The sequence below is a fragment of the Homo sapiens genome, chromosome 6 (assembly GCF_000001405.40).
Source record: "Homo sapiens chromosome 6, GRCh38.p14 Primary Assembly".
NCBI lineage: Eukaryota > Metazoa > Chordata > Mammalia > Primates > Hominidae > Homo > Homo sapiens.
Window position 1 is genome coordinate 33,314,326 of NC_000006.12, and position 26,137 is coordinate 33,340,462.

The 26,137-nt window shown below is 50.6% G+C and overlaps 3 protein-coding genes, 1 long non-coding RNA gene and 1 pseudogene across 9 annotated transcripts, besides 3 other annotated features; 2 read left to right on the plus strand and 3 right to left on the minus strand.

Annotated features, from left to right (window-relative positions):
• ZBTB22 (zinc finger and BTB domain containing 22) lies at positions 93-3,617 on the minus strand. Of its 2 annotated transcripts, none has more exons than NM_001145338.2 (2): positions 3,553-3,617; positions 93-2,660 (listed from the first exon to the last, which is right to left on the minus strand). In NM_001145338.2, the coding sequence occupies exon 2, from the start codon at positions 2,589-2,591 to the stop codon at positions 687-689; it is 1,905 nt and encodes a 634-aa protein (NP_001138810.1). In that variant the 5' UTR covers positions 2,592-2,660; positions 3,553-3,617; the 3' UTR covers positions 93-686. The 2 variants fall into 2 exon arrangements, with proteins under 2 accessions (NP_001138810.1, NP_005444.4); NM_005453.5 differs by lacking the exon at positions 3,553-3,617 and adding an exon at positions 3,328-3,419.
• Positions 307-966: an enhancer, noted in NCBI's record as "H3K27ac-H3K4me1 hESC enhancer chr6:33282409-33283068 (GRCh37/hg19 assembly coordinates)". NCBI's record gives its function as "activates a minimal SCP1, AML or CMV promoter by ChIP-STARR-seq in primed H9 embryonic stem cells {active_cell/tissue: H9 hESC(primed)}" and the evidence as "EXISTENCE:reporter gene assay evidence [ECO:0000049][PMID:30033119]".
• Positions 967-1,624: an enhancer, noted in NCBI's record as "H3K27ac-H3K4me1 hESC enhancer chr6:33283069-33283726 (GRCh37/hg19 assembly coordinates)". NCBI's record gives its function as "activates a minimal SCP1, AML or CMV promoter by ChIP-STARR-seq in primed H9 embryonic stem cells {active_cell/tissue: H9 hESC(primed)}" and the evidence as "EXISTENCE:reporter gene assay evidence [ECO:0000049][PMID:30033119]".
• Positions 1,047-1,341: a silencer, noted in NCBI's record as "tiled region #3790; K562 Repressive non-DNase unmatched - State 2:TssF". NCBI's record gives its function as "represses a minimal TATA promoter and a strong SV40 promoter by Sharpr-MPRA in K562 cells {active_cell/tissue: K562}" and the evidence as "EXISTENCE:reporter gene assay evidence [ECO:0000049][PMID:27701403]".
• DAXX (death domain associated protein) lies at positions 4,233-8,634 on the minus strand. 5 transcript variants are annotated; one of them, NM_001141970.2, is made up of 8 exons: positions 8,537-8,634; positions 7,394-7,583; positions 6,411-7,242; positions 6,055-6,266; positions 5,686-5,899; positions 5,055-5,529; positions 4,672-4,894; positions 4,233-4,477 (listed from the first exon to the last, which is right to left on the minus strand). In NM_001141970.2, the coding sequence occupies exons 1-8, from the start codon at positions 8,587-8,589 to the stop codon at positions 4,418-4,420; spliced, it is 2,259 nt and encodes a 752-aa protein (NP_001135442.1). In that variant the 5' UTR covers positions 8,590-8,634; the 3' UTR covers positions 4,233-4,417. The 5 variants fall into 5 exon arrangements, with proteins under 5 accessions (NP_001135442.1, NP_001341.1, NP_001135441.1 ...); NM_001350.5 differs by having other exon boundaries at positions 7,394-7,649; NM_001141969.2 differs by having other exon boundaries at positions 7,394-7,652.
• On the plus strand, positions 8,349-9,322 carry LOC124901303 (uncharacterized). The gene is made up of 2 exons (XR_007059547.1): positions 8,349-8,434; positions 8,625-9,322. It is a non-coding gene; the product is annotated as an uncharacterized LOC124901303 (long non-coding RNA).
• Positions 9,303-14,954, minus strand: SMIM40 (small integral membrane protein 40). The gene is made up of 3 exons (NM_001369203.1): positions 14,662-14,954; positions 9,646-9,705; positions 9,303-9,539 (listed from the first exon to the last, which is right to left on the minus strand). Exon 1 carries the CDS (start codon positions 14,938-14,940, stop codon positions 14,701-14,703), a length of 240 nt encoding a protein of 79 aa, NP_001356132.1. The 5' UTR covers positions 14,941-14,954; the 3' UTR covers positions 9,303-9,539; positions 9,646-9,705; positions 14,662-14,700.
• MYL12BP3 (MYL12B pseudogene 3) lies at positions 24,638-25,386 on the plus strand (annotated as a pseudogene).

Below are 26,137 nucleotides of genomic sequence, written 5' to 3' on the forward strand. Positions count from 1 at the left end.
CTCCAACATCCACTTGCCCGAAAACCATTACTCCGGCTTCCCCCTATCTGTGCCGCGTCCCCAGCAAACACACGGGTTATCGGGAAGCCAAGTAAATGACCAATAAATATTTTAATCACTGTTAAAAAAAATAAAAACCTTGTACTCCTACGACTTACTCCCTCCTTGTCTCCACCCACTCCTCCATGAGAACCGAGTTGGGAATTTCCACGGGAAGTCGGGGGTGGCGGGGAGAGACAGGGTAGAAATAAAGAGCGCATCCTTGAGAGGGGGTAGGTTCTAGGACAAGGGTGGGGCTCAAAGGCCTTGTCTCCACGACAACACAAACACAGACTTCAGGCACAGACTACAACCACCTGACCCCTGACCCTGTGACTGCAGGATGTTCAACACGCCCCCTCTCCCTCCCTCCATGTGCAATCTACTCTGTGGAGCAGGGGCTTCAGTGTACCCATCAGAGGGAAAGGAAGGGTTTAGTTCTGGAAATACCTTGGGGGGGAGGGGTTGAGTAGTAGAATGGGCGGGCGATGGTGAAACTGTGGTTCCCCTTCCAGAATATATACAAGTCCACAGAGATAAAGGAAGACAGTAAGTGTGGTGGGAGATCACCCGGGGGCCACAGCGCCCTTGCATCGTGCTCCTTATTCCCTTTCCCGAAAGCTACCCCACCCCAGTAGCCTGCCCCTTCAGTTTGCTCCTCCACCTCCACCGAAGCCCATCTCCACCTTGTGGACTCTGGGTGGGGACCAGACACGTCTGCTGGACGGGGGCGTGGCCGCACTCGCTTCGTCGCCGCTGCCCCCGCCCACTCCGGGAGACTCTCTCTTGGACGGCAAGGATGGCCCCGTGGGAGTCCCAGGCCCAGGTACGGCCCCGACCCCGCCCAGGCGGTGCCGGCGCTCACAGTGTCCTCGGTGGCGCATGAAGCTGTCTCGCCACATGAACTTCTTGGCGCAGACTCCGCACTCGTAGGGCTTGAGACCTGTGTGCGTCTTCATGTGCTCAGTCAGATGGTGCTTCATCTTGAACTTTTTGTTGCACACGGGGCAGTCAAACGGCCGCAGATTGAGGTGCATGTTCACGTGCCGGTCCCGCATGCTCTTGTGGGAGAAGGCCTTCCCACAATGGCACAGAAAGATCTTATTCCCGTCCCCACTGCCAGTCCCTCCAGGGACCCCACCAACGCTACCCGGCACACCCAGGCTCCCCACCGACGTGCCCCCCACGGTCACTGCCCCGTGTTCTGCTTGGTTCCCTGGTGGTTGGCCAGGAGCCTGTGAGGATGAGGATGAAGACGACGACGGGAAGACCAGGATCTGGTTGCCCTGCATGTCCAAGGGAAGGAGCGGTCGAGGAGGGTGGGAGGGGGCATAGGAAGAGGGAGTTGGCCCCCCTGAGTCATCAAGACCTGCCACAGGACCCCCACCCTCATATGGGCCAAAGTCATTGGAGGACTCACAGAAGTTGACCTGCTCCTCCCCCTTGTCTGGGGGCTCACTCAGGGTACGGACATCACTTATGCTGAGGGTAGCCTCAGGCCCTCCCCCCACTGGAACCCTGGAGCTACCCCCTAGTTCTTCATCTTCATCATCCTCACAGGTCAACACCAGATCTTCCTCCTCCTCTTCCTCCTCCAGATCTGGGTCTTGGGGAACCAGGGGTGTTGGCGCTGGGCAATTACCACCTCGCTTCACGTATACCCAGTGTTTCTGTGGCATGATGCTAGGGGGTGTGTAGGTGGGTCTCCGGAGCCCAGCCCCAGGAACCACTGCCCCCCTCCCATCCCCACCATCATCGCACAGCTCATCTGCCTCCAGCAGCAGCTTTCCAGATGTGGCCCCTCCACTGCCAACGACAGGGGCTGGGAATACAGGGCCACCTCCTCGACGCTCCCCACTGCCCACTGCAGAAGCTGCAAATGCCTCTTGGGAGGAAGATGAGAAATCAGTGGACTCCCTGGGGCTGAAGTAGTTGCTGCTGCTGGGAGATTGATTCTCACTGGCCCGGCTGGAGGCATGGGAGCGCGCAGAGCCCATGGTAGCAGGGGCCACAGTGCCCCCACTCCCGGATGGCACCCCAGCACCAGGGACAGTGACAGAGGTGGCTGCAGCAGTAGTGATGGTGGTGGTAGCTGAGGCCCGGCCTTCTCGGAGTAGTTCAGTGCACTTGTCCACAATGTGCCACATTTGGAGCACAGACCCCACTGTAAGGAAGTTGACAATGTCAGCAGCAGCCATGCTGAGGCGGCCAGTGTAAGCGGAGGCTAGGACAGTCTCAAAGGCGCCTGGGTCCATGACACTGGGCAGCGAGATGGAGGTCATGCCTTTGAGTAGGACCTGATCATGGAAGTAAGGGGAGGAGGCAGCCAGGACAGCCCGATGAGCCCGGAACTCCCGGCCCTGCACTCTGATAGATACATCGCAGAGCTGGCCCTGCAGACGCTGCTGATTGAGGGACTCCAAGAGGGCACTGGTCACCTCAGGGAAGGACACATGTACCACTGCAGCTGCTGGCAGGGGTAGTGGGGGCGGAGCCAGCGACAGCGGCAGGGGAAGTGCTGCCCCACTGGGAGACAGAGGAGATGGCTCCATGTTGTGGAGGGAGGGGATACCCCCCCAGCCACAGGAACAAAGAAAGGAGGAGGGCGGCCGGGGGGGTCTCTGGGAAGAAAAAGAGAAAAGAATAATGATAACATCTCATAACGACACAGCCCGTTACAACTCAAAAATATGTTCACGCTCATTATCTGTGTAACTCCCCACAACAGTGAGGTAGGTATTCCTCTCAACCCCATTTGACAGATGAGGAAACTAAAGCTCAGAAAGATTAAGAGATTATCCAAGGTCACACAGCAAGTGGCAGCGCCAGCAAACACAGGTATCTGACAAATCTTGTGCCCTTTCCTTGGAGGTTAGAGAAATAAGGTGCTCTTAGGGGCTGGAGTGGCTTCCTTCGGAATTATACCCTATTTCCGACTTACCTGAGAGCCTGACATTCCAAAATCTACCTTTTTGGTGTTTTGCACCCACTTTTTGGGAGGGGGCAGGGCAGCTCTGCTACTGAAAACCAACGCTTGCTCCATCTCCCCTCAGGCTATGCCCCCCAAGCTCTCTCGCCGACCACGCCCCCTTTCGCCCCAGCTTCTCTAGCCCCGCCCCTTTCCAGGCCCACCCCCCCGTGCCCCGCCCACTATCGGGCCTTTCGACCCCGCCCCTTGTCTACCTCCGCCCACAACGGACCCCGCCCCCCCCCGCTCCGCCCCAAGCGCTACCTCGGCCTCTTCTCCCACCCGGAAGGCGCCCCCCAACCTCGCGCGTCCCCGCTTACCGGGCCGCGCGCCCCCGGGCCCCCCCCGCCCCTCACTCGGCGGCCAGAGCAGCAACCTGGGCCCCTCCCGCCGCCATCTTGCGCCGACTCCCTCCGCCCTCCGCCTCCGCTCCGCCTCCCGCCCCTCCGCCTTTAAAGGCACAGCCGGGCACCCCGCCCGTGCCGCTGGGCAATACTCGGCCGACTCGGCCACTTTGCCTTTAAAGAAACATCGCCACATTCCACCTTAAAAGATCAGGTCCCCTCCTCCGCTGGGAGCTCAGGACTTGGTTCGGCCGAAGCATTTATTCCCCTTTAAAGCTATAAGCCTGCCTTTTCCCATTGGCGATGGGTCCAGGTATCGTTCCCCAGGCTCCGCCTCTGAGCTGTGACCATTAGCTGGTTGGTGGGATCTAATCGCCCTCTTCCTAGCTCCTTACAGTCCCACTGAAGCCCCGCCCCCTTTCTCCGGGCCTGGATTGGCTAAATAACCTTGAGTCGGCCCCTCATTGGCTTTCTCACTCCTACTGCACGAAGTGAAAAAGTAAAGTGCGTTAAGGCGGCTGAAGCACTTAAAAAAAAAAAAAAGTACTGCCTGAACAACGTGGCGAAACCCCGTCTCTACAAAAAATACAAACAACAAAAACAAAAATTAGCCAGGCATGGTGGCACGCGCCTGTAGTCCCGGCTACTCGGGAGGCTGAGGCATTATCGCTTGAGACTGGGAGGTCCAGGCTGCAGTGAGCTGTGATCTCACCACTGCACCCTGGCCTGGGCGACACAGCGAGACAAAAAAAAAAAAAAAAAAAAAAAGGCCAGGCTAGAAAGGACAGAGCGGGACTACCCCGGGGATACTGGGCTAACCCTGAGCAAGGGGACAGCTAATGCCAATCTGTAACAGTAGAAGGACAAGAAAAAGACAGTGATACAGTAAGAAAAGAACTTTATTGTTTATTAATGTTTCTGTGTAAAACTTAAGCTTTTTTTTTTTTTTAAAGAAACACCACCAAAAGGGGATTAGCTTAGTCCATCCCTTCCTCAGTCATCTGCTTCCCACCTTCCTCCAAATGTTATCCCAGAACATTCTGGAGGCAGGGAGAAGGGGAGGCAGCTAATCAGAGTCTGAGAGCACGATGATCTCTTCTGGATCGCATTGTGTGGCCACACTTGTCTGCAGGGAAGTGAGAGACAAAGAGTCAAAGAGATCTGGAGTACAGGAGAAAAGAAACAGGAGGATTTAGAGGATAAAATGGGTGGGAAAAAGGAAGAGACAGGATGTGGCACGTGGAATATTCAGACAGAGCAGCTGAAACAGCCAATGAAAGAGAACAAATTGTCAGAGGAAACACGCCCTCCCCTTCTTACCTTGCAAGTACCAGGCCGAGGAGGCTGTGAATGGGGGGTTTGGGACAGCCGGGCTGGAGAAGGGATGCAGAGGGAGCTGGTCACCAGGCCATGGCTGGGAGAGTCCACCCTCGTGGAGGAATCAGCAACTGGGGCCAAGGAAGCCAAGGGGGAAGGTGGGCTGGGCAGGGTACATATCTTTTTCCCATTCTTCTCATGCACTGACCTTTGCCTTTCCACATAGCTAGAAACAGAAACATAAATATGTGGAGGGGTACGGGAAGACTGAGGCTGGAGGGGGGCAGTCCAGTCTCTCCCAGCAGACTCAGTTCCCCAGTATTGCTCTCCGAAAGTCCCCTGCAATCCCTCCTTGGCTTCCCTCTTCCTCCTCCTCTTGTTATTACCTGTTTCCTAATGGCCCTGATCCTGTTTGCTTCTTCTCCTTCCGAGATTTTTTGCAGGGGGGACCAGAATCTCCCCAGTTGTGAGGAGAGACGCCTCCATTGAAGGAAGTAGAAGAGACCATGCCTGCTCCATTCTCTAAGACAGTGGTGAAGGGCTCCTCTGATTGCTTCCTGGAAGAGGAAATGTCCGTCTCCACAGAGGAAGGGGTATCCAGGGGCAAAGCTTCAATCTCTAGCTCAAAGAGCTGAGACACAGGGCTTTCTTCCTCCAGGGTCAGCTCCTCAGGCTGTTCTCCATTGCTTTCAGCATCTATGCTGGAGGGGGCCAGGGGTTCTTCTGACAGTAACGATGGTGACACTATGCGTCCTTTGTTTTGCTGCTCCCCTGAAGATCTGCTGATCTGTTTGCCAGGTTCCAGGTTCTTTTCATTGGAGATCTGTAGTGAGGACATGGGGCTCTTGTCTCCATCTTTACCTGGAAAAGAAGAAAAGGGGAGAGGGTAGCCTGAGAATGAGGGGGAAAAAATACTGCTGAGAGGACACTAGGAGGAGGAAGGGAAAGGTTTCAAACAGGTGGCTCATGCCTAACAAAACAGAAATGACAGGTGAGGAGAATGTTCCCTTGACATACCTGCTGCTGCTTCTTCCTCTTCGTCCTCCTCTTCATCATCCTCCTGACCCTCCTGCATCTGTTCCAGATCCTCCTCCTCTTCAGAATCTGTGGCCTCCTCCTCTTCTTCTTCCTCCTCCTCCTCCTCTTCCTCATCACTCTCCTCATCGTCTTCGTCATCTGTCTCAGCTCTGGAGGCAGAAGGGCACCCCTGGGATGCCATTCCACTAGGGCCCTGGGAGACAAAGAAGTTTCTCTAAGGAATCCCTTGCCCCAGAGGGTTTGGTTCTTGCTTTCCTTCTCATGCTCCCCCATCAGTCAACCTGGACTCCCTGGTGGCCAGTGCAGGGGAAGGACAATGTCTCTCTGAAGGCTGTACCCCATCCACACCTCACCAGAATCCAAGGAGGCTTCGGGGGTGTCTGCAGAGTGGGAAGAGGTGCCTTGGAGCCGAGCTCTTCTCTTTTTTCTCTCGCCCTCCTCACTTTTGTCTTGCAACATTGCATATTTGGAGATGACCTCATCCAGCCGACTCATGGCCAAACTCCGGTTTTCCCGAAGGCGCCGGGCCAACACAGGATCTGATAGTGCAGGGTCAACGCCTACGTGGGAAGACATAAAGTCAGAGCACTCAGCCCTTGAAGGGACTAGAAGAGTAAAAACCCTAGAAAGGACTAGAGAGATGCCCCATCCGCCTCATACCTGACATATAAGGGTCACTGAGAGGCATCCCACCAACCCCCTACCTGGCCTATAGTCATCTGTGAGGTGGCAGCCAAAGTTGTAGATGAGATCGAGGTGACGTCGCTCCTGTAACCTGATGCCCACATCTCGGAAGGCATCCTGAGCCATGAGCTGGAGCTGCTGTCGGGGGAGGCCAAGGCTGTGTCGGGCAGCTGCCTTCTCTACAGCCCGAAGCACATCCCCATAGTCAGGGAAGGTATCAGGCCCTGGCTTGTTGATGAGCCGCTCAATGCGCCTGTTAACCTCTGGGTAGCGGGTGCCACGGTAGGGGATGCGCTGCTCTATGACACGGCCGGTCAGTGAAGAGCAGTCTTTCAGCTCACATAGTCGCCCAAAGAGGCGGATCAGCTTACGCTTCAACCGTGCCTCCTGCAGGTATGCGGAGTCTGGGTCATCCAATTCTGAGAGATCCAACTCCTTTTCCTGCAGCCGCCGGATCTCTGCCACATAGAGCGCCAGCAGCTGCTCCAAACGCTGGATCTGCCGCCGGGAACCACGGGTCCTTGGAGACTGAGAGGCAGTGTTTTCAGCATTTGTGGGGTCCAAGGAGAGGTGTGTGGGAGGGTTATTCCCAGAGGGCTCATTGGAGGTGGTGGCGGCAGGGGCCAAGTTCAGCTTCTTTTTGGCTGAGTGGGCCTTGAGAACAGTGCAGAGCTCATTGATGTAGACATAGAGCTTGGCTGGCCGGCTCCGGGCCCGAGACAGGACCCTAGAGAGGATGTTGCAGAACTCCGCCGAGGCCAAAAACAGAGAGTGGGCACGTTGCTGCCGGTTATAGAGGAATGGGACCACCTCAGGGTGGTCTGCTGTCTGCATCTTACAAAGTTCAAGGAACTAGAAGGTTCAGGGGAAGAAGGAAGGGGAAGAGAGACAAGGGAGGGGGTTGAGAGAAAGGGGAGGTGGGGTTAGTGGGAAAGAAAGGACAGGAGAACCAGTCAGCCATCCCCCTCCCTGGGGTACAACAATCTTCCCCGCTAAAGCTCACCTCTTCGAACAGCTTCTCATTCTCCAGCTTGTAGCATTTCTTGCCGCCCGAACTACTGCTTCCTCTGGCCCCATGAGGCTCAGAGGAGCTAGGGGCTTCTGCCCCAGGTGAGGCCGCATTGGGGAGTGGGTGGGAGGGCCCTGGCTGAGCAGCTGCTTCATCTTCGTCATCATCATCCAGCACGATGATGCTGTTAGCGGTGGCCATAGGGGATCAAATCCCCCGGAGGGAGGAAGTGGTGGGGATTTCAGAATTCCTGCTGGAAGGGGATGGGGCCTCAGAATGAGCCCCTCCAGCATAGCCCCATCCCTTCACCTCACACATTTTCTGAACTCCTTGGGTTTCAGTAACATCCAGCCCTGACCAACACTGTCTTCACCACCTGATTTCAATAACCATTAGTTCTATATGCTTTTTGGGGCCCTTCAAGTGGTGTGGGGGGGGGGCAAACCACCCCCACACCTTAAGTTGCCACCTTCTGCTCCACCCCTCACGTCGATTTCCGGTCTTTCTGTTGCATTTCCCCCCTATTTCTTAGAGTTGGCAAGTTGATTCTTCCTCCCACACTGCACCCCAAATCGTCCTGACACCCCCTTGCACAGACAACACACTCCTGTGGGCGCCACCTCATGTGTTTGCCCCCTCTGCTCTCAAACAAGTCAACCCCACACCCACCCTATCCTGAATGATCACCCCAACTCCTAGACTCTCTGAGGTGAAAGAGGTTCCCTCCCAACAGTCCGTTCTCTTTTCTCCTCCTTGAATTATCTCCATATTTCACCCTCCGATGAGTCTCCTCAAACTGGGGCTTTAGGTTGAAGATATTTTACCCAAGTCCCCTCCCTTTCACCCCACCCTAATTTTCCCCATTCTCTCGGTGACCCGTAACTGATCAAAAGTCCCCCCGCACCGCGCTACGCTCTCGCGATTCCTCTTAGATCCCAACCGTGGGTCCGGCCGGTCCGCTAGATGCGCTTCCCGCCAAATCCCCCTCCCCCAGTTCAGCCCCCGGCCGCTCCACTCCCTTTCAGGGACAGGAAGGTACCACAGCTTTCCCCTCAGACTCAGCGCCCAGCTCTCCCCAATACCTCTCCCTCTATATCCCCGCCCCCGCCTCTGATCCCCGCACCGTCCGGCCCCCACCTCAGAAACCGTCTCTCGAGGCGACCCTCGCCGCAATTCTCAGAACCTCGCATGGTTCCCTCCGCCTTCCTTCCCACTCCCACCGCAGGCCCCACTACGGACCGGAAGTCACAGAGTTTCCGCCTTCATGCAACTAAGCGCCGCCATATTGTCGTACGGAACACAGGCTTCCTGTGGCCGGAGGTGACAGTAGGCCCGCCCCGCGAACACCTCCAGTGCGGCCCACATAGTCAGCGGTCTCTTCCAGGTCGGAGTTTGTCTCCCCGAACCCAGGCGTCCCAAAGCAGCTGGGGGCCGCCATTTTGCCGTACGGCACTGGCTACGCCCGGACTCCGGTGCGCAGCCAGTGGAGCTCTTTTCACCCGGTGCTTCTACGACTCCGCCAATCAGAAACTTCCTGCCTGGGGCCCAACCGCCGGAGAGTAGCGCGTAGGGAGGACCGAGCCTCGTTTCCAAGGAGGGGCAGGGGAACCGAACAGGGTGGATTAGGAATTGGGCTTTCCAAAGCTGTGCAGAGTTTCAGGGAAGGGCAGAAGTCTCTTAAAAGGGAAGTAAAACCTTTTCTTTCAGTTGGGCTATTGGCAAGCTATCTGGCCCTGCTTTCCTGTCCCCCAGGTTCCCATTTCCACGGCTTATTCGGCTGACCCAGCCCCTTCCCCTGCAAGGGCGGCGCGCTCCTTGCCGCTGTCCAGCAGCTGTTTCTACTGCCAGGTGCTGCGTCCCGCGATCGTTATAACACATGCGTACAAATGAGCACAACGCGCCATAAAAGTGTTATTGTTATTACTATTGTTGCTGATTTGCTTTTCAAGCTTCACCACAGAACTAATGACCAGCCAGACCGTTGGGACCTGAATGGTTCTTCTCCAGAGGGGGTCCTCGAAGGGCCGTCTGTGCTGACCAGGTGGCCGTGCTTTGTCGTGGGAGGCCTAGGGTCTGCGGATGGGCGATGATGGGGTGGGGCTTGGAGGAGAGTTTGTGCAAATTGCCGCTGCGAGGGCTGCTGTGAGGCGAAATGAGGCTCATAAAATACTTTGGGTCTCCTCCTCCTCCTCTTCGGGGAGAGGGGAAAAAAGAATGAAGGATGAAGAAACAGATTTGATACCCACCTCGTTGTGTTTAGGGAGGCTGGAGGGACTCGTGGAGGCAAGGCTGGGTCCAGAGGTGAGCTTATGAGGAAACCAGAAAGATTAACAGGGTCCCAATCGCTAAGATTCCCATTTCCACAAGTGGTGGGCATCTTGCCACTTAACTAGGGTCACAGAGCTTATTAGATCCCTAACGCTGAGTCCTAGAATCGCAAACACCCGTCCGTTGAACAATCCCACATCACTTCTCTCCAGTCGTCAAAGTCTACAGCTTTCAAAATGGGGAACATAAAAACTCTCCGCGAGGACTGGGACTTGGAAGATGTAAGGGATTTAATTTCAAGAACCTCAACTTTCCCAAAATTGGTCTTCCTAAGGAAACACCTGCAGTACAGGTTCTCATTCTTCACTTCTCCTTTTACAATAGAGTCACCCTCTTAAGAAAAAAAAAAAAAAGAATAGTTCTCTTTTTTCCCCTCCCCCCTCAAAAGTATAGTTCTCAACCATGAAATCTCCTGGGGGTAATCTTACCTGTTTAAAATAAAGGGAAATGTACCCTGTTTCTTTCACCAAGGCACCATGAATACCACCTTTTCTTTTTTTTTTTTTTTTTTTTCCTTTCTTTTGTCTTTTTTTTTTTTAAATGCAGGGTCGGCCGGGCGCGATGGTTCACGCCTGTAATCCCAGCACTTTGGGGGTCCGAGGTGGGCGTATCATGGGGTCAAGAGATCGAGACCATCCTGGCCAACATGGTGAAACCCCGTCTCTACTAAAAATACAAAAAAATTAGCTGGGCGTGGTGGCAGGCGCCTGTAGCTCCAGCTACTCAGGAGGCTGAGGCAGGAGAACCGCTCGAATCCGGGAGGCGGAGGTTGCAGTAAGCCGAGATCGCGTCATTGCACTCCAGCCTGGGCGACAGAGCGAGATTATCTCAAAAAAAAAAAAAAAAAAAAAAAAAAAAAAGGAAAAAAAAAGGGTCTTGTTCTATCACCCAGGCTGGAATGCGGTGGTACGGTCATAGCTCACTGTAACCTCAAATTCCTGGGCTCAAGCCATCCTCCCACCTCAAGTAGCTAGGACTACAGGCGCACACCACCTCACCTGGCTAATTTTTTTAAAAAAAGTTTTTTGTGGAGGCTGGGCGCGGTGGCTCATGCCTGTAATCCCAGAACTTTGGGAGGCCGAGGCGGGCGGATCACCTGAGGTCGGAAGTTTGAGACCAGCCTGGCCAACATGGTGAAACCCCGTCTCTACTAAAAACACAAAAATTATCTGGGCTTGGTGGCACGCGCCTGTAGTCCCAGCTACTCGGGAGGCTGAGGCAGGAGAATCGCTTGAACCCGGGAGGCGGAGGTCGCAGTGAGCTGAGATCAGCCACTGCACTCCAGCCTGGCGACAGAGCAAGACTCTGTCTCAAAAAAAAAAAAAAAAAGGTTTTTTATAGCGACAGGGTCTTACTGTGTTGCCCAGATGGATCTTGAGCTCCTTGCCTCAAGCAATCTTCCCACCTCAGCGTCTCAAAGTGCTGGGATTATGGGCGTGAACCGCCACTCCCAGACTACTATCTTATTAAATATTTCTTTTTAACAGTTATAAAAATGTTTACGATCGGCCAGGCACGGTGGCTCACGCCTGTAATCCCAGCACTTTGGGAGGCCGAGGCAGGAGGATCACGAGGGCAGGAAATCGAGACCACCCTGGCTAACACGGTGAAACCCTGTCTCTACTAAAAATACCAAAAAAAAAAAAAAAAAAAAATTAGCTGGGCGTGGTGGTGGGCGCCTTGTAGACCCAGCTACTCCGGAGGCTGAGGCAGGAGAATGGCGTGAACCCGGGAGGCGGAGCTTGCAGTGAGCCGAGATCGCGCCACTGCCCTCCAGCCTGGGCGACAGAGCGAGACTCCGTCTTAAAAAAAAAAAAAAAAGTGTACGATCACATGTTTATAAGAACATTCTGTTCTTATAATAATTGTAACAGTAACTCCTCCAGAATAATTTTTAACAACTAGAGTCTTACAATCACAAGAAAGATATTTTTCATCTCAATTAATATACATGTATATGCAGGAAGATGTAAAAGATTGGTCAATAAAGGACTTTCAAGTATAAAAGCATAAAGTTTGTGGGGAAGTGGAGTAGTAGTAGGAGCTCAAGGAAAAAAGAGGTGATGAAAGAAAAAAGGAATGATTCCCAACTGGTAAGAACTAATTTATACTTTTTTTTTTTTTTTGAGATGGAGTCTTGCTCTGTCGCCCAGGCTGGAGTTCAATGGCACAATCTCTGCTTACTGCAACCTCCCACTCCCGGGTTTAAGCGATTCTCCTGCCTCAACCTCCTGAGCAGCTGGGATTACAGGCACACAACACCATGCCCAGCTAATTTTTTGTATTTTTTGTATTTTTTTTTTTTAGTGGATATGGGTTTTTGGCATGTTGGCCAGGCTGGTCTCAAACTCCTGACCTCGTGATCCACCCAACTCAGCCTCCCAAAGTGCTGGGATTACAGGCGTGAAGCACCGTGCCCGGCCATCACTATGATATTTCAATTCCACTGGACAATAAATGGTGATCTAATTGTTTTATTTTAAAATGTGGGGCCAGGCATGGTGACTCATGCCTGTAATCCTACCACTTTGGGAGGCCGAGGCGGGCAGATCACTTGAGGTCAGGAGTTCGAGACCAGCCTGACCAACATGAGGAAACCTCGTCTCTACTAGAGATACAAAAAATAGCCAGGCGTGGTCGTGGGCGCCTGTAATCCCAGCTATTTGGGAGCTGAGGCAGGGGAATCCCTTGAATTTGGGAGGCAAAAGTTGCAGTGAGCCAAGATCACGCCACTGCACTCCAGCCTGGGCGATAGAGCAAGACTCTGTCTCAAAAAATAAAAAAATAGGCCGGGCGTGGTGGCTCAAACCTGTAATCCCAGCACTTTGGGAGGCCGAGGCAGGCAGATCACCTGAGGTCAGGAGTTCGAGACCAGCCTGCCCAACATGATGAAACCCCGTCTCTACTAAAATTACAAAAAAATTAGCTGGGTGTAGTGGCGGGCGCCTGTAGTCCCAGCTATTTGGGAGGCTGAGGCAGGAGAATCGCTTGAACCCGGGAGGCAGAGGTTGCCGGAAGCCAAGATCGCACCACTACACTCCAGCATGGGCAACACAGAGAGACTGTGTCTCAAAAAAATAAATAAATAGGCCAGGTGCAGTGGCTCATGCTGTAATTCCAGCACTTTGGGAGGCCGAGGCAGGCAGATCACGAAGTCTAGGAGTTCGAGACCAGCCTGGCCAATATGGTGACACCCCCGTCTCTACTAAAAATACAAAAATTAGCTGGGCGTGGTGGCTCGCGCCTTTAGTCCCAGCTACTTGGGAAGCTGAGGCAGAAGAATCGCTTGAACCCAGGAGGCGGAGATTTCAGTGAGCCAAGATGGTGCCACTGCACTCCAGCCTGGGTGACAGAGCAAGACTCTGTCTCAAAAAATAAATAAATAAAATAAAATGTGGCCAGCTGTGGCTCACCGCCTATAATCCTAGCACTTTGGGAAGTTGAGGTGGGTGGATTGCTTGATCTCAGGATTACAGACCAGCCTAGGCAACATAGTGAGACCTCATCTCAATAAATCAATAAATAGGCTGGGCGCAGTGGCTCATGCCTGTAATCCCAGCACTTTGGGAGGCTGAGGTGGGCGGATCACTTGAGGTCAGGAGTTCCAGACCAGCCTTGCCAACATGATGAAACCTTGTCTCTACTAAAAATACAAAAATTAGCTGGGCACGGTGGCACACACCTGTAGTCCCAGCTATTTGGGGGCCTGAGGCAGGAGAATCGCTAGAATCTGGGAAGTGGAGGCAGGCTGCAGTGAGCAGAGATCACTGCCACTGCACTCCAGCCTGGGCAACAGGAGACTCTGTCACAAAAAAAAAAAAAAAAAAAGAGTTCAAGACCAGCGTGGCCAACATGGTGAAATCCCCATCTCTACTAAAAATATAAAAATTAGGGGTGCTGGTGCACACCTGTGGTCCCAGCTACTCAGGAGGCTGTGGCAGGAGAATTGCTTGAACCCCAGAGGCAGAGGTTGCAGTGAGCCGAGATTGCACCACTGCACTGCAGCCTGGGCGACAGAGCAAGACTCCATCTCAAAAAAAAAATAAAAATTAAAAAATAAATAAAATGTGAATATTTTCAATATGCCAGAATTACATCCTTGAAACAATTTTTATTTATTTATTTTTATTTTTATTTATTTATTTATTTATTTTTGGAAGGAGTCTCGCTCTGTCACCCAGGCCGGAGTGCAATGGTGCGATCTCGGCTCACTGCAACTGCCTCCCGGGTTCAAGCAATTCTCCTGCCTCAGCCTCTGAGTAGCTGAGGCAGAGAATCAGGTGCCCACCAACTTTCCCGGCTAATTTTTGTATTTTTAGTAGACATGGGGTTTCACCATATTTGCCAGACTGGTCTTGAACTCCTGACTTTAGGTGATCCCCCTGCCTTGGCCTCCCAAATTTCTGGGATTACAGGCATGAGCCACTGTGCCCGGCCACAATTTTAATTTATGATGAAAATTTTTAGATACCTACTTAAAGATATATGAAGGAGTATATACTTCTTCAAAATTATTTCCCTGAGTATAGGTGCAGAATTTAAGACTGCTGCCCTGGCCGGGCGCAGTGGCTCACACCTGTAATCCCAGCGCTTTGGGAGGCCAAGGCAGGCAGATACCTGAGGTCGGAGTTGGAGACCTGCCTGACTAACATGGAGAAACCTTGTCTCTACTAAAAATACAAAATTAGCAGGGGGCGGTGGCGCATGCCTGTAATCCCAGCTACTCAGGAGGCTGAGGCAGGAGAATCCCTTGAACCCTGGAGGCAGAGGTTGCAGTGAGCCAAGATTGTGCCATTGCACTCCAGCCTAGGTAACAAGAGCAAAACTCCATCTCAAAAAAAAAAAAAAAAAAAAAAAGACTGCTGCCCTAAGCTATCCAAGCATCTCCTCCATAGCCCCCAACACTCCCATTTCCCTCCTGTCTCCCCTCTCACCTCCTTGGTGGGGAAAGAAGATGTTTATAGGAAAGGTGGTCACAATTCCAGCTCCTCCTCCTTCTGAGGTGTCCCCAGGAGCCAGTCCCCTAACTTTGCCCATAGTAGTAACCACAGCAGCTTATAAGCAGCCTCCAGCATCAGCAGTGTCAGGAAGAGGGCCAGGAAGATAAAGAAAGCCTTGTCCAAGGCACGTCGCACGGGACCCCTGGGAGGGGAGGGACCCTGGGCAAATGCCAGGAACACATCCGCCTCGTCCACATCACCTTCCTCTGCCATCCTGACTCACAGTCAGACAGCTGGCTGGATCAGGGGGCTGGGATGCAAGGCCTTGCTCAGCACTGCCAGGATTAAGGAGCATGGCTGTGGCAAGTCCTGCACCTGCCAGTCCTGACCTTAATTCCCACACCTAAGAGAAAAGAGAAAGGACCCTATGAGCCTTCAGATCAATTATTTAAACATCCAGTGTGATGTGAAAGGTCTGGACTAAATGATCCATGAACTCTATTCAGCTTTTTCATAGTATAATTCTGTGATTTGGAAACTGAAGGCCCAACATGAAGGCATAAGCTAGAACTGCCTGTCACTCTGGGTCTCAAGTCTCAAAGACTCAAGGCTCAAAATCTTGGGCCCCAACTGATAGAGAGTGAGGAAATGGACCTACCATGCATCTGTGAGCCATGGTCAGTCAAGGATCTAAAGCCCCTTCTGGCTGGATGGTAGGGGGTGAGATGGTCTATCCTAACCAAGGCGGGTAGGAACAAGCAGAGGGGACTTGAGTTCTCACAGGAGTAGTTCTCCCCACTGGGTCTGCAGGCAGCTAAGTTTGAGATGGTATAACCCAGAACACTCTCTTCCTAACTTTTGGTCTCTGCAGTACCAAGGGAGGATTATCATTGACTGCATGAGCCCAAGGGGAGGCTTATAAAAAGACAAAGACCGTGATGGATCAGCAGGGCAAGGGTATGTGATTGGGACTTGGCTGTTGGGTTGGGGTTATTTTACTTTACTTTACTTATTTATTTACAGACGGAGTCTCGCTCTGTCTCCCAGGCTGGAGTGCAGTGGCACGATTTCGGCTCACTGCAACCTCTGTCTCCTGGGTTCAAGAAATTCTCCTTCCTCAACCTCCCAAGTAGCTGGGACTACAGGCATGTGCCACCATGTCCGGCTAATTTTTTTGTATTTTTAGTAGAGACGGGGTTTCACCATGTTGGTCAAGCTGGTCTGGAACTCCTGACCTCAAATGATCCACCCACCTTGGCCTCCCAAAGTGCTGAGATTACAGGTGTGAGCCACTGCACCCAGCCAGGGTAATTTTAAAGAAGAGTGAAGTTTTGCCATCGATGGTCCAGGTCTCAGAGGCTACCAGTGGAGGATGTGGTTGAGGAGGTTGTAGGAGCAAGGACTGAAGACCTTTTCTTTTCTTTCTTTTTTTTTTTTTTTTTTGACTGATTGAAGACCTTTTCTTAGGCCAGGCGTGGTGGCTCACGCCTGTAATTCCAGCACTTTGGGAGCCCGAGGCGGATGGATCAATTGAGGTCAGGAGATCAAGACCAGCCTGGCCAACATGGTGAAACACTGTTTCTACCTAAAATACAAAAATTATCCGGGAGTGGTGGCGCATGCCTGTAATCCCAGCTACTCGGGAAGCTGATGCAGGAGAATCTCTTGAAACTGGGAGGCGGAGGTTGCCATGAGCTAAGATCATGCCACTGCAACTGCACTCCAACCTGGGTGACAGAGTGAGACTCCGTCTCAAAAAAATAAAAATAAAAAAAGAAGATGTTTTATTGACCCTGTTCCCCAGGCATTGGCCTGAAGGTTGGGTAATGAAATTGAAGCCCATCTGGAAACAAGGGATTCGCCCAAGTGAGGCTGAGGGAGGGGAGGGGGAACGGTGGAGGAAGCAGTGTGTGTAGTAGTGAACCTTATACTGGGAACCTTTGGAGCCTCCTACCTAAACTATTTCATTTTCATTTTCACCTCAATAGGAAGATCTTGTTCCTTTTTTTTTTTTTTTTAACCGGATCTTTTTTTTTTTTGAGATGGAGTCTCGCCCTGTCCCCCGGGCTGGGGTGCAATGGCACGATCTCGGCTCACTGCAACCTCCGCCTCCCGGGTTCAAACCATTCTCCTGCCTCAGCCTCCCAAGTCGCTGGAATTACAGGTACGTGCCACCACGCCTGGCTAATTTTTTGTACCTTTAGTAGAGACGGGGTTTCACAGTGTAGGCCAGGCTGGTCTCGAACTCCTGACCTCGTGATCCACCCACCTCAGCCTCCCAAAGTGCTGGGATTACAGGCATAAGCCACCGCACCCGGGCTACAGGATCTTGCTCTGTCACCCAGGCTGGAGTGTAGTGGCTCAAACGTGGCCCACTGCAGCCTTGATCTCCCCAGCTCAAGCAATCCTCCCATCTTAGCCTCCTGAGTAGTTGGGACCACAGGTGTGTGTCACCACGCCTGGCTCATTTTTGAATTTTGTAGAGACAGGGTCTTTCTATGTTACCCAGGCTGGTTTTTAACTCCTGAGCTTATTAAACAATCCTTCCACCTCAGCCTCCCATCATTCTGGAATTACAAGCATAAGCCACCATGCCTAAGAATACCTTCTTTACTTGGGAAGTCAGGTCACCCCCCAAAAGAGCAGAAATGATGTTATAATGTTGTTTTGAGGGCTGGGCGCGGTGGCTCACGCCTGTAATCCCAGCACTTTGGGAGGCCGAGGTGGGCGGATCACAAGGTCAGGAGATTGAGGCCATCCTGGCAAACACGGTGAAACCCCGTCTCTACTAAAAATACAAAAAATTAGGCCAGGCGCGGTGGCTCACGCCTGTAATCCCAGCACTTTGGGAGGCCGAGGCGGACAGATCACGAGGTCAGGAGATCGAGACCATCCTGGCTAACACGGTGAAACCCCGTCTCTACTAAAAATACAAAAAATTAGCCAGGTGTGATGGCGGGTGCCTGTAGTCCCAGCCACTTGGGAGGCTGAGGCAGGAGAATCACTTGAACCCGGGAGGCAGAGTTTGCAGTGAGCCAAGATCATGCCACTGCACTCCAGATTGGGCGATACAGTGAGACTCCGTCTCAAAAAAAAAAAAAAAATACAAAAAATTAGCCGGCTGTGGTGGCGGGAGCCTGTAGTCCTAACTACTCGGGAGGCTGAGGCAGGAGAATGGCATGAACCCCAGAGGCGGAGCTTGCAGTGAGCCGAGATTGCTCCACTGCACTCCAGCCTGGGCGACAGAGCGAGACTCTGTCTCAAAAAAAAAATGTTGTTTCAAGTCATGCCGCATTGTCTTTTGCTGCAGCTGCAAAGGAGTCTCGAAAAAGTGAAAAAACCCTGGACTAGAATTTAAACTGATCACTTAGTTGTGTGAAGCTGTGGACAAGTCACATGACCTTTCTTTAGTGTTTTGTTTTGTAATAAAATCAGAAAAAGCTCTTGCCTCCCAGAATTATTCTGAGAGATAAATGAAATAAAGGTTTTTTGATGTTGTTGGTTTTTTGTAAATTATAAAGCACTATGTAAATGTAACATATTAATCTGATACCCTCACTTACATCCCAGGCAAGTGTGCAATAAGGCCACACAAACACCTTTATTGTCTCTTTACATGGTAGGTTCAGCACCAACATCTTGTGTAATAAATAAACCTAGCATCTTGTTGGAATTTTTTTAATTTTGAAATAATTTTCAGCTTACAGAAAAATTTAAGAACAGTTCCAAGAACTTTGGCATGTACCTCTTTCACTCAGATTTTCCATTTGTCAACACTTGGCTGTATTTGTTCCATCTCGCTCTCAACCCCAGTATAACCATGTGTTACAGGTTGAATTGTGTCTCCTAAAAATTCATATGTTGTGCAGCCATAAAAATGAATAAGGGCTGGGCTGGGCGCAGTGTCTCATGCCTGTAATCCCAGCACTTTGGGAGACCGAGGCGGGCAGATCACAAGTTCAAGAGATCGAGACCATCCTGGTTAACACACTGAAAGCCCATCTCTACTAAAAATACAAAAAACTAGCCGGGTGTGGTGGTGGGCGCCTGTAGTCCTAGCTACTCAGGAGGCTGAGGCAGGGGAATGGCTTGAACCCGGGAGGCGGAGGTTGTGGAGAGCTGAGATCGCACCACTGCACTCCAGTCTGGCAACAGAGTGAGTTGTTGCCAAAAAAAAAAAGAAAAAAGAACAAGATCAGGCCAGGCGCGGTGGCTTATGCCTGTAATCCCAGAACTTTGAGAGGCCAAGGTGGGCAGATCACAAGGTCAGGAGTTTGAGACTAGCCTGGCCAACATGGCAAAAACCCATATCTACTAAAAATACAAAAATTAGCTGGGCATGGTGGCAGGCCCCTATAATTCCAGCTAGTGACATGGGAGGCTGAGGCAGGAGAATCACTTGAACCCAGGGGGCCGAGGTTGCAGTAAGCTGTGATCTCACCATTGCACTCCAGCCCCACTGACAGTACGAGACTCCTCTCAAAAAAAAAAAAAAAAAAAAAAAGGTGAAGAATTCATTTGTTCGCATGTTCTCACTTACAAGTGATGATGAGAATACACGGACACACGGTGGGAAACAACACAACTGGGTCCTGTCTGGGGGAGTGGGGGAAGGAAGGGCACCAGGAAGAATAGCTAATGGATGCTGGGCTTAATACCTGGGTGATGGGATGATCTGTGCAGCAAATCACCATTGCACACGTTTACCTATGTAACAAACCTACACATCGCACACATGTACCCCTGAACTTAAAATAAAAGTCGAAGGAAAAAAATAAAATTTATATAATGAAGTCCTAACTCCCAGTTCCTCAGAATGTAACCTTATTTGGAAATAAGGTTGTTGCATATGTAATTGGTTCAATGAGGTCATACTGGAGTTGAGTGGGCCTCTCACCCCCTTTATAAGAAAGGAAGTTTGGACATAGGCTTGCGGATAGAGAGAATGACATGTGACCATGAAGGCAGAGATCAGGTTGATATGTCAAAGATTGCCAGCAGGCCAGGCACCATGGCTTATGCCTGTAATCCCAGCACTTTGGGAGGCCAACACAGGTGGATCACCTGAGGTCAGGAGTTCGAGACCAGCCTGGCCAACATAGTGAAATCCCATCTCTACTAAAAATACAAAAAATTGGCCGAGCACAATGGCTCACGCCTGTAATCCCAGCACTTTGGGAGGCTGAGGCGGGCAGATCACGAGGTCAGGAGTTCAAGACCAGCCTGGTCAACATGGTGAAACCCTGCCTCTACTAAAAATACAAAAATTGGCAGGGCATGGTCATGGGCACCTGTAATTCCAGCTATTCTGGAGGCAGGAGAATTGCTTGAACCTGGAGGCGGAGGTTGCAGTGAGCTGAGATCGTGTCACTGCACTCCAGCCTGGGCGACAGAGCGAGACTCTGTTTCAGAAAAAAAAAAAAAAAAAAATACAAAATGTTAGCCGGGCGTGGTCGTGGGTGCCTGTAATCCCAGCTACTCAATCGGGAGGCTGAGGCAGGAAAATTGCTTGAACCTGGGAGGCAGAGGTTGCACTGAGCCGAGATCTTGCCATTGCACTCCAGCCTGGGTGACAGAGCAAGATTCCGTCTCAAAACACACACACACACACACACACACACACAAAAGACTGCCAGCAAACCACCGGAAACTAGTAGAAAGGCCTGGAACAGATTCTCCCTTACACCCCTCAGAAAGAACCAACCCTGCCTACACCTTGATCTCAGACTTCCAGCCTCCAGAACTGTAAGGCAATACATTTCTGCTGTTTAAGTCTCCCAGTTTGTGATACTTTGTTATGGCAGCCCTAGCAAACTAAAACACCATTCTAATCAGGAAATCAATATCACTCTTCAATTCATAGATCCCATTCAGATTTCACCAGCTGTCCCAGTAATGACCGCCTCTTCTTTTTTAAATTATCTTTTTTTTTTTTTTTTTTTTGGAGACAGGTCTGTCACCCAGGCTGGAGTGCAGTGGTGCGATCTCGGTGCACTACAACCTCCACCTTCCGGGTTCAAACAATTCTCCTGCCTCAGCCTCCCAAGTAGCTGGGACTATAGGCACACGCCGCCACAGCCAGCTAATTTTTTGTATTTTAGCAGAGACGGGGTTTCGCCATGTTGTTCAGGCTGGTCTTGAACTCCTGAGCTCAGGCAATCCACCCGCCTAGGCCTCCCAAAGTGCAATTATCTTTTCTTTTAACAGCTGTTTTTTTCTTTTTCTTTTTTTTTTTTTTTGAGATGAGGTCTCACTCTGTTGCCCAGGCCAAAGTGCAGTGGTGCTATCAAGAGCTCACTGCAGCCTCAAACTCCTGGGCTCAAGTGATCCTCCCACCTGAGCCTTCCAAAGTGCTGGGACTACAGATGCGTGCCACCATACTTGGCCTATCTGTCCTTTCTAGTCCAGGATCACATACTGCATTTGACTGTCACATATCTATCTGTAGTCTCCTTCAATCTGGGAAGTTCTCAGTCTTTCCTTGTCTCTCATGAATTTGACAGTTTTGAAGAGGTCTTTCATTTCTTTCTTTTTTTTCTTTTCTTTTCTTTTTTTTTTTAAACAGGTTCTTGCTCTGTCGCCCAGGCTAGAGTGCAGTAGCAGGATCATAGCTCACTGCAGCCTCAAATTCCTCGGCTCAAGCAATCCTCCCACCTCAGCATTCTGAGTAGCTGCGGCTACAGGTGTGTGCCAGCACATCCGGGGAATTTAAACATTATTTGTAGGCTGGGCACAGTGGCTCATGCCTGTAATCCCAGCACTTTGGGATGCCGAGGCAGGCAGATCACAAGGTCAGGAGTTTGAGACCAGCCTGGCCAGCGTGGTGAAACCCCATCTCTACTAAAACTCCAAAAAATTAGCCAGGCATGGTGGCACATGCCTGTAATCCCAGCTAGCTACACAGGAGGCTGAGGCAGGAGAATTGCGTGAAACCGGGAGGCAGAGGTCACAGTGAGCCGAGATTGTGCCAATATGCTCCACCCTGGGAGTCAGAGCAAAACTCCATCACAAGAAAAAAAAAAAAAAAGACAGGACTTTCTACTTGCTAGCCTCTCTATTGCTGGCTTTGATGATGTAAGATGCCATATTGGAGAAACCCACATGGCAAGAAACTAGGTGTGGTCTCCAAACACTAACCAACAGGGAACTGAGACCCTCAGTCAAAAAACCCTTTAGAAACTGAATCCTGCAAACAGCTATGTGAGTGAGCTTAGAAGCAGAACCTTCCCCAGTTAAGCTTTATTTTTATTTTTATTTTTATTTTTATTTTTTTTGAGACAGAGTCTTGCTCCGTCACCCAGGCTAGAGTGCAATGTGCTATCTCGCCTCATTGCAACCTCCACCTCCCAGGTTCAATCGATTCTCCTGCCTCAGCCTCCCAAGTAGCTGGGATTACAGGTGCCCGCCACAACACCCAGCTAATTTCTGTATTTTTAGTAGAAACCGGGTTTCACCAGGTGGGCCAGGCTGGTCTGGAACTCCTGACCTCAGGTGATGCACCTGCCTCAGCCTTCCAAAGTGCTGGGATTACATGCATGAGCCACTGAGCCCGGCCCTGAGCTTTCAGATGAGATCACAGGCAACTCATAGACTGCAGTCTTATGAGAGCCTCCGAAGCAGAGGATCCAGCTAAGCTGTTCCCAGATTTCTCCCCCACAGAAGCCATCAGATAACAGTGTGTTGTTTTGAGCCACCGGGTTTTGGGGTAATTTGTTACACAGCAATAGATAACTCATACACTGTGCTAGAATTGAGCACCAGATCTTCAGTAACAGATACACCCATATATTCCTTCCAAATTTATTCTTTTAACATTTATGATATGTGGGGCCTTCTGAAATGTGGGGCTCCAGGCAGGATCTCCTCTTGCTTGGATATAAGAGCAGCACTAGAATTAGTCTATCAGTCTTCACATTTTCTTGCTTGCATGCTCCTTAAAAACATTTTGGAAAATTATGTGCCATTTTGTATATATTTTTATTTGGCATCTAATTTTTTTCCTTGTTGATTTAAATAACTGCAAAGAGTATAACAAATCGGCTTGGTGCAATGGCTCACACCTGTAATCCCAGTACTTTGGGAGGCCGAGGCAGGTGGATAACGAGGTCAGGAGTTCAAGACCAGCCTGGCTAACATAGTGAAACCCTGTCTGTACTAAAAATACAAAAATTAGCTGGGCATGGTGGCGTATGCCTGTAATCCCAGCTACTCGGGAGGCTGAAGCACAAGAATTGCTTGAACCTGGGAGGCGGTGGTTGCAGTGAGCCGATATCATACCACTGCATTCCAGCCTGGGCAACAGAGCGAGACTCCATCTCAGAAAAAAAAAAAGAGTGTAACAGATCTTGTGTCTTATATAAATATTGACATTGTAAAATAAAACTGTCAACTGGGCACGGTGGCTCACGCCTGTAATTCTAGCACTTTGGGAGGCCGAGGCAGGCGGATCACGAGGTCAAGGGATCGAGACCAGCCTGGCCAACATGGTGAAACCCCATCTCTACTAAAAATACAAAAATTAGCTGGGCGTGGTGGCACGCGCCTGTAGTCCCAGCTAATGAGGAGGCTGAGGCAGGAGAATAGCTTGAACCCAGGAGGAGGAGGTTGCAGTGAGCTAAGATCACACCACTGCACTCCAGCCTGGCTGACAGAGCCAAACTCCATCTCAAAAAAACAAAAACAGGCTGGGTGCGGTGGCTCACGCTTGTAATCACAGCACTATGGGAGGCCGAGACAGGCGGATCACGAGGTCAGGAGATCGAGACAATCCTGACTAACACGGTGAAACCCCGTCTCTACTAAAAATACAAAAAAATTAGCCGGGCATAGTGGCGGGCGCCTGTAGTCCCAGCTACTCGGGAGGCTGAGGCAGAATGGCGTGAACCTGGGAGGCGGAGCTTGCAGTGAGCCAAGATCGCGCCACTGCACTCCAGCCTGGGCAACAGAGCCAGGCTCCATCTCAAAAAAACAAACAAAACAAAAACAACAAAAAAAAACAAAAAACTGTCTGGCTGGGTGCAGTGGCTCACGCCTGTAATCCTAGCACTTTGGGAGGCTGAGGTGAGTGGATCACCTGAGGTCAGGAGTTCAGACCAATCTGGCCAACATAGTGAAACCTTGTCTCTACCAAAAATACAAAAATTAGCCAGGCATGGTGGCACATGCCTGTAATCCCAGCTACTCCCGGGTTCAAGCAATTCTTGTGCCTCAGCCTCCCAAGTAGATGGGATTACAGGTGTGCACCACCACACACCTGGCTAATATTTTTGTATTTTTAGTAGAGATGGGGTTTCACCATGTTGGCTAGGCTGGTCTGGAACTCCTGACCTCAGGTAATCTGCTCGCCTCAGCCTCCCAAAATGCTGGGATTACAGGCATGAGCCACCACACCTGGCCACAAAATAAATAAGGAAATAAATAAATATATATATGTAAAATATATATATGTAATATATGTAAAATATATATGTTATATATGTAAATATATATATATATACACACATATAGTTTGTTTGTTTTTGAGATGGAGTTTTGCTCTTGTTGCCCAGGCTGGAGTGCAATGGCACGATCTTGGCTCACTGCAACCTCCGCCTCCCGGGTTCAAGCGATTCTCCTGCCTCAGCCTCCTGAGTAGCTGGGAATACAGGCATGCACCACCACGCCTGGATAATTTTTTATTTTTAGTAGAGATTGGGTTTCTCCATATTGGTCAGGCTGGTCTCGAACTCCTGACCTCAGGTGATCCACCCACCTCGGCCTCCCAAAGTGCTGAGATTATAGGTGTGAGCCACTGCACCCAGCCCGCTCTGTCTTAAATATGAGTGCCCAGTTAAGGAACACCAGATATTTGAGGAAGACTTCAGACATGAGCAAAAACCCAAAATTAAAAGTAAAAACGACACAGCATTGTGCTCTTCGCCTTCCCTCATCGTCTGGCGCAGGGCAGCCCACTTCTGGTGTTTGGCGCTGGAATTAAACAACCACCATGTGGAGCAAAAAGGCAAGACCAAGACCACCAAAAAGCTCCCTCAGCGCACAACATCCAACGTGTTTGCCATGTTTGACCAGTCACAGATTCAGGAGTTCAAAGAGGCCTTCAACATGATTGATCAGAACAGAGATGGTTTCATCAACAAAGAAGATTTGCATGATATGCTTGTTTCCCTAGGGAAGAATCCCACCGATGCATACCTTGATGCCATAATGAATGAGGCACCAGGGCCCATCGATTTCACCATGTTCCTCACCATATTTGGTGAGAAGTTAAATGGCACAGATCCTGAAGATGTCATTGGAAATGCTTTTGCTTGCTTTGATGAAGAAGCAACAGGCATTATTCAGGAAGATTACCTGAGAGAGCTGCTGATAACCATGTGGGATCGGTTTACGGATGAGGAAGTGGATGAGCTGTACAGAGAAGCGCCTATTAACAAAAAGGGGAATTTCAATTACATCGAGTTCACATGCATCCTGAAACATGGAGCAAAAGACAAAGACGACTGAAAAGAACTTTAGCTAAAACCTTCCAACTACATTGTCTTACTCTGTTTTATTTCTCAGACACTTCCCCCATCCTCATAGAACCTGTTGCATGCAACTTAGTTTCACAGCTTTGCCTCTTTTTTTTTTTTATGTATTTATTCCAGACCTTTCTGTCACACAGCACTTGTATAATCAGACTGAAAATGGGGATGAGGGTGTAAATTGTATTGAAAAAGAGATCATGGCCGGGCGCAGTGGCTCACGCCTGTAATCCCAGCAACTTGGGAGGCCGAGGCGGGTGGATAACCTGAGGTCAGGCGTTCAAGACCACGCTGACCAACATGGTGAAACCCCGTCTCTACTAAAAATACAAAAAGTTAGTTGGGCGTGGTGGCGGGCACCTGTAATCCCAGCTACTCAGGAGGCTGAGGCAGGAGAATCGCTTGAACCCAGGAGGCAGAAGTTGCAGTGAACCAAGATCACACCGTTGCACCCCAGCCTGGGCAACAAGAGCAAAATTCAGTCAAAAAAAAAAAAAAGAAAGAAAGAAAAGAAAAGAAGGCCAGGCACGGTGGCTCACGCCTGTAATCCCAGCACTTTGGGAGGCTGAGGCGGGTGGATCACGAGGTCAGGAGATCGAGACCATCCTGGCTAACACGGTGAAACCCCGTCTCTACTAAAAATACAAAAACATTAGTCAGGCATGGTGGTGGGCTCCTGTTGTCCCAGCTACTCGGGAGGCTGAGGCAGGAGAATGGCATGAAGCCAGGAGGCAGAGCTTGCAGTGAGCCGAGATTGAGCCACTGCACTCCGGCCTGGGCGACAGAGTGAGACTCCGTCTCAAAAAAAAAAAAAAAGAAAAGAAGAAAAAGAAAAAGTGATAGCAAATAAAAATCAACAAATGTGAAAAAAAAAAAGTAAAAACAAACATGGAGGAAAGAGACAGAAGAGGAAAACTTCATATAAACTATAATAAATTTCCACACTG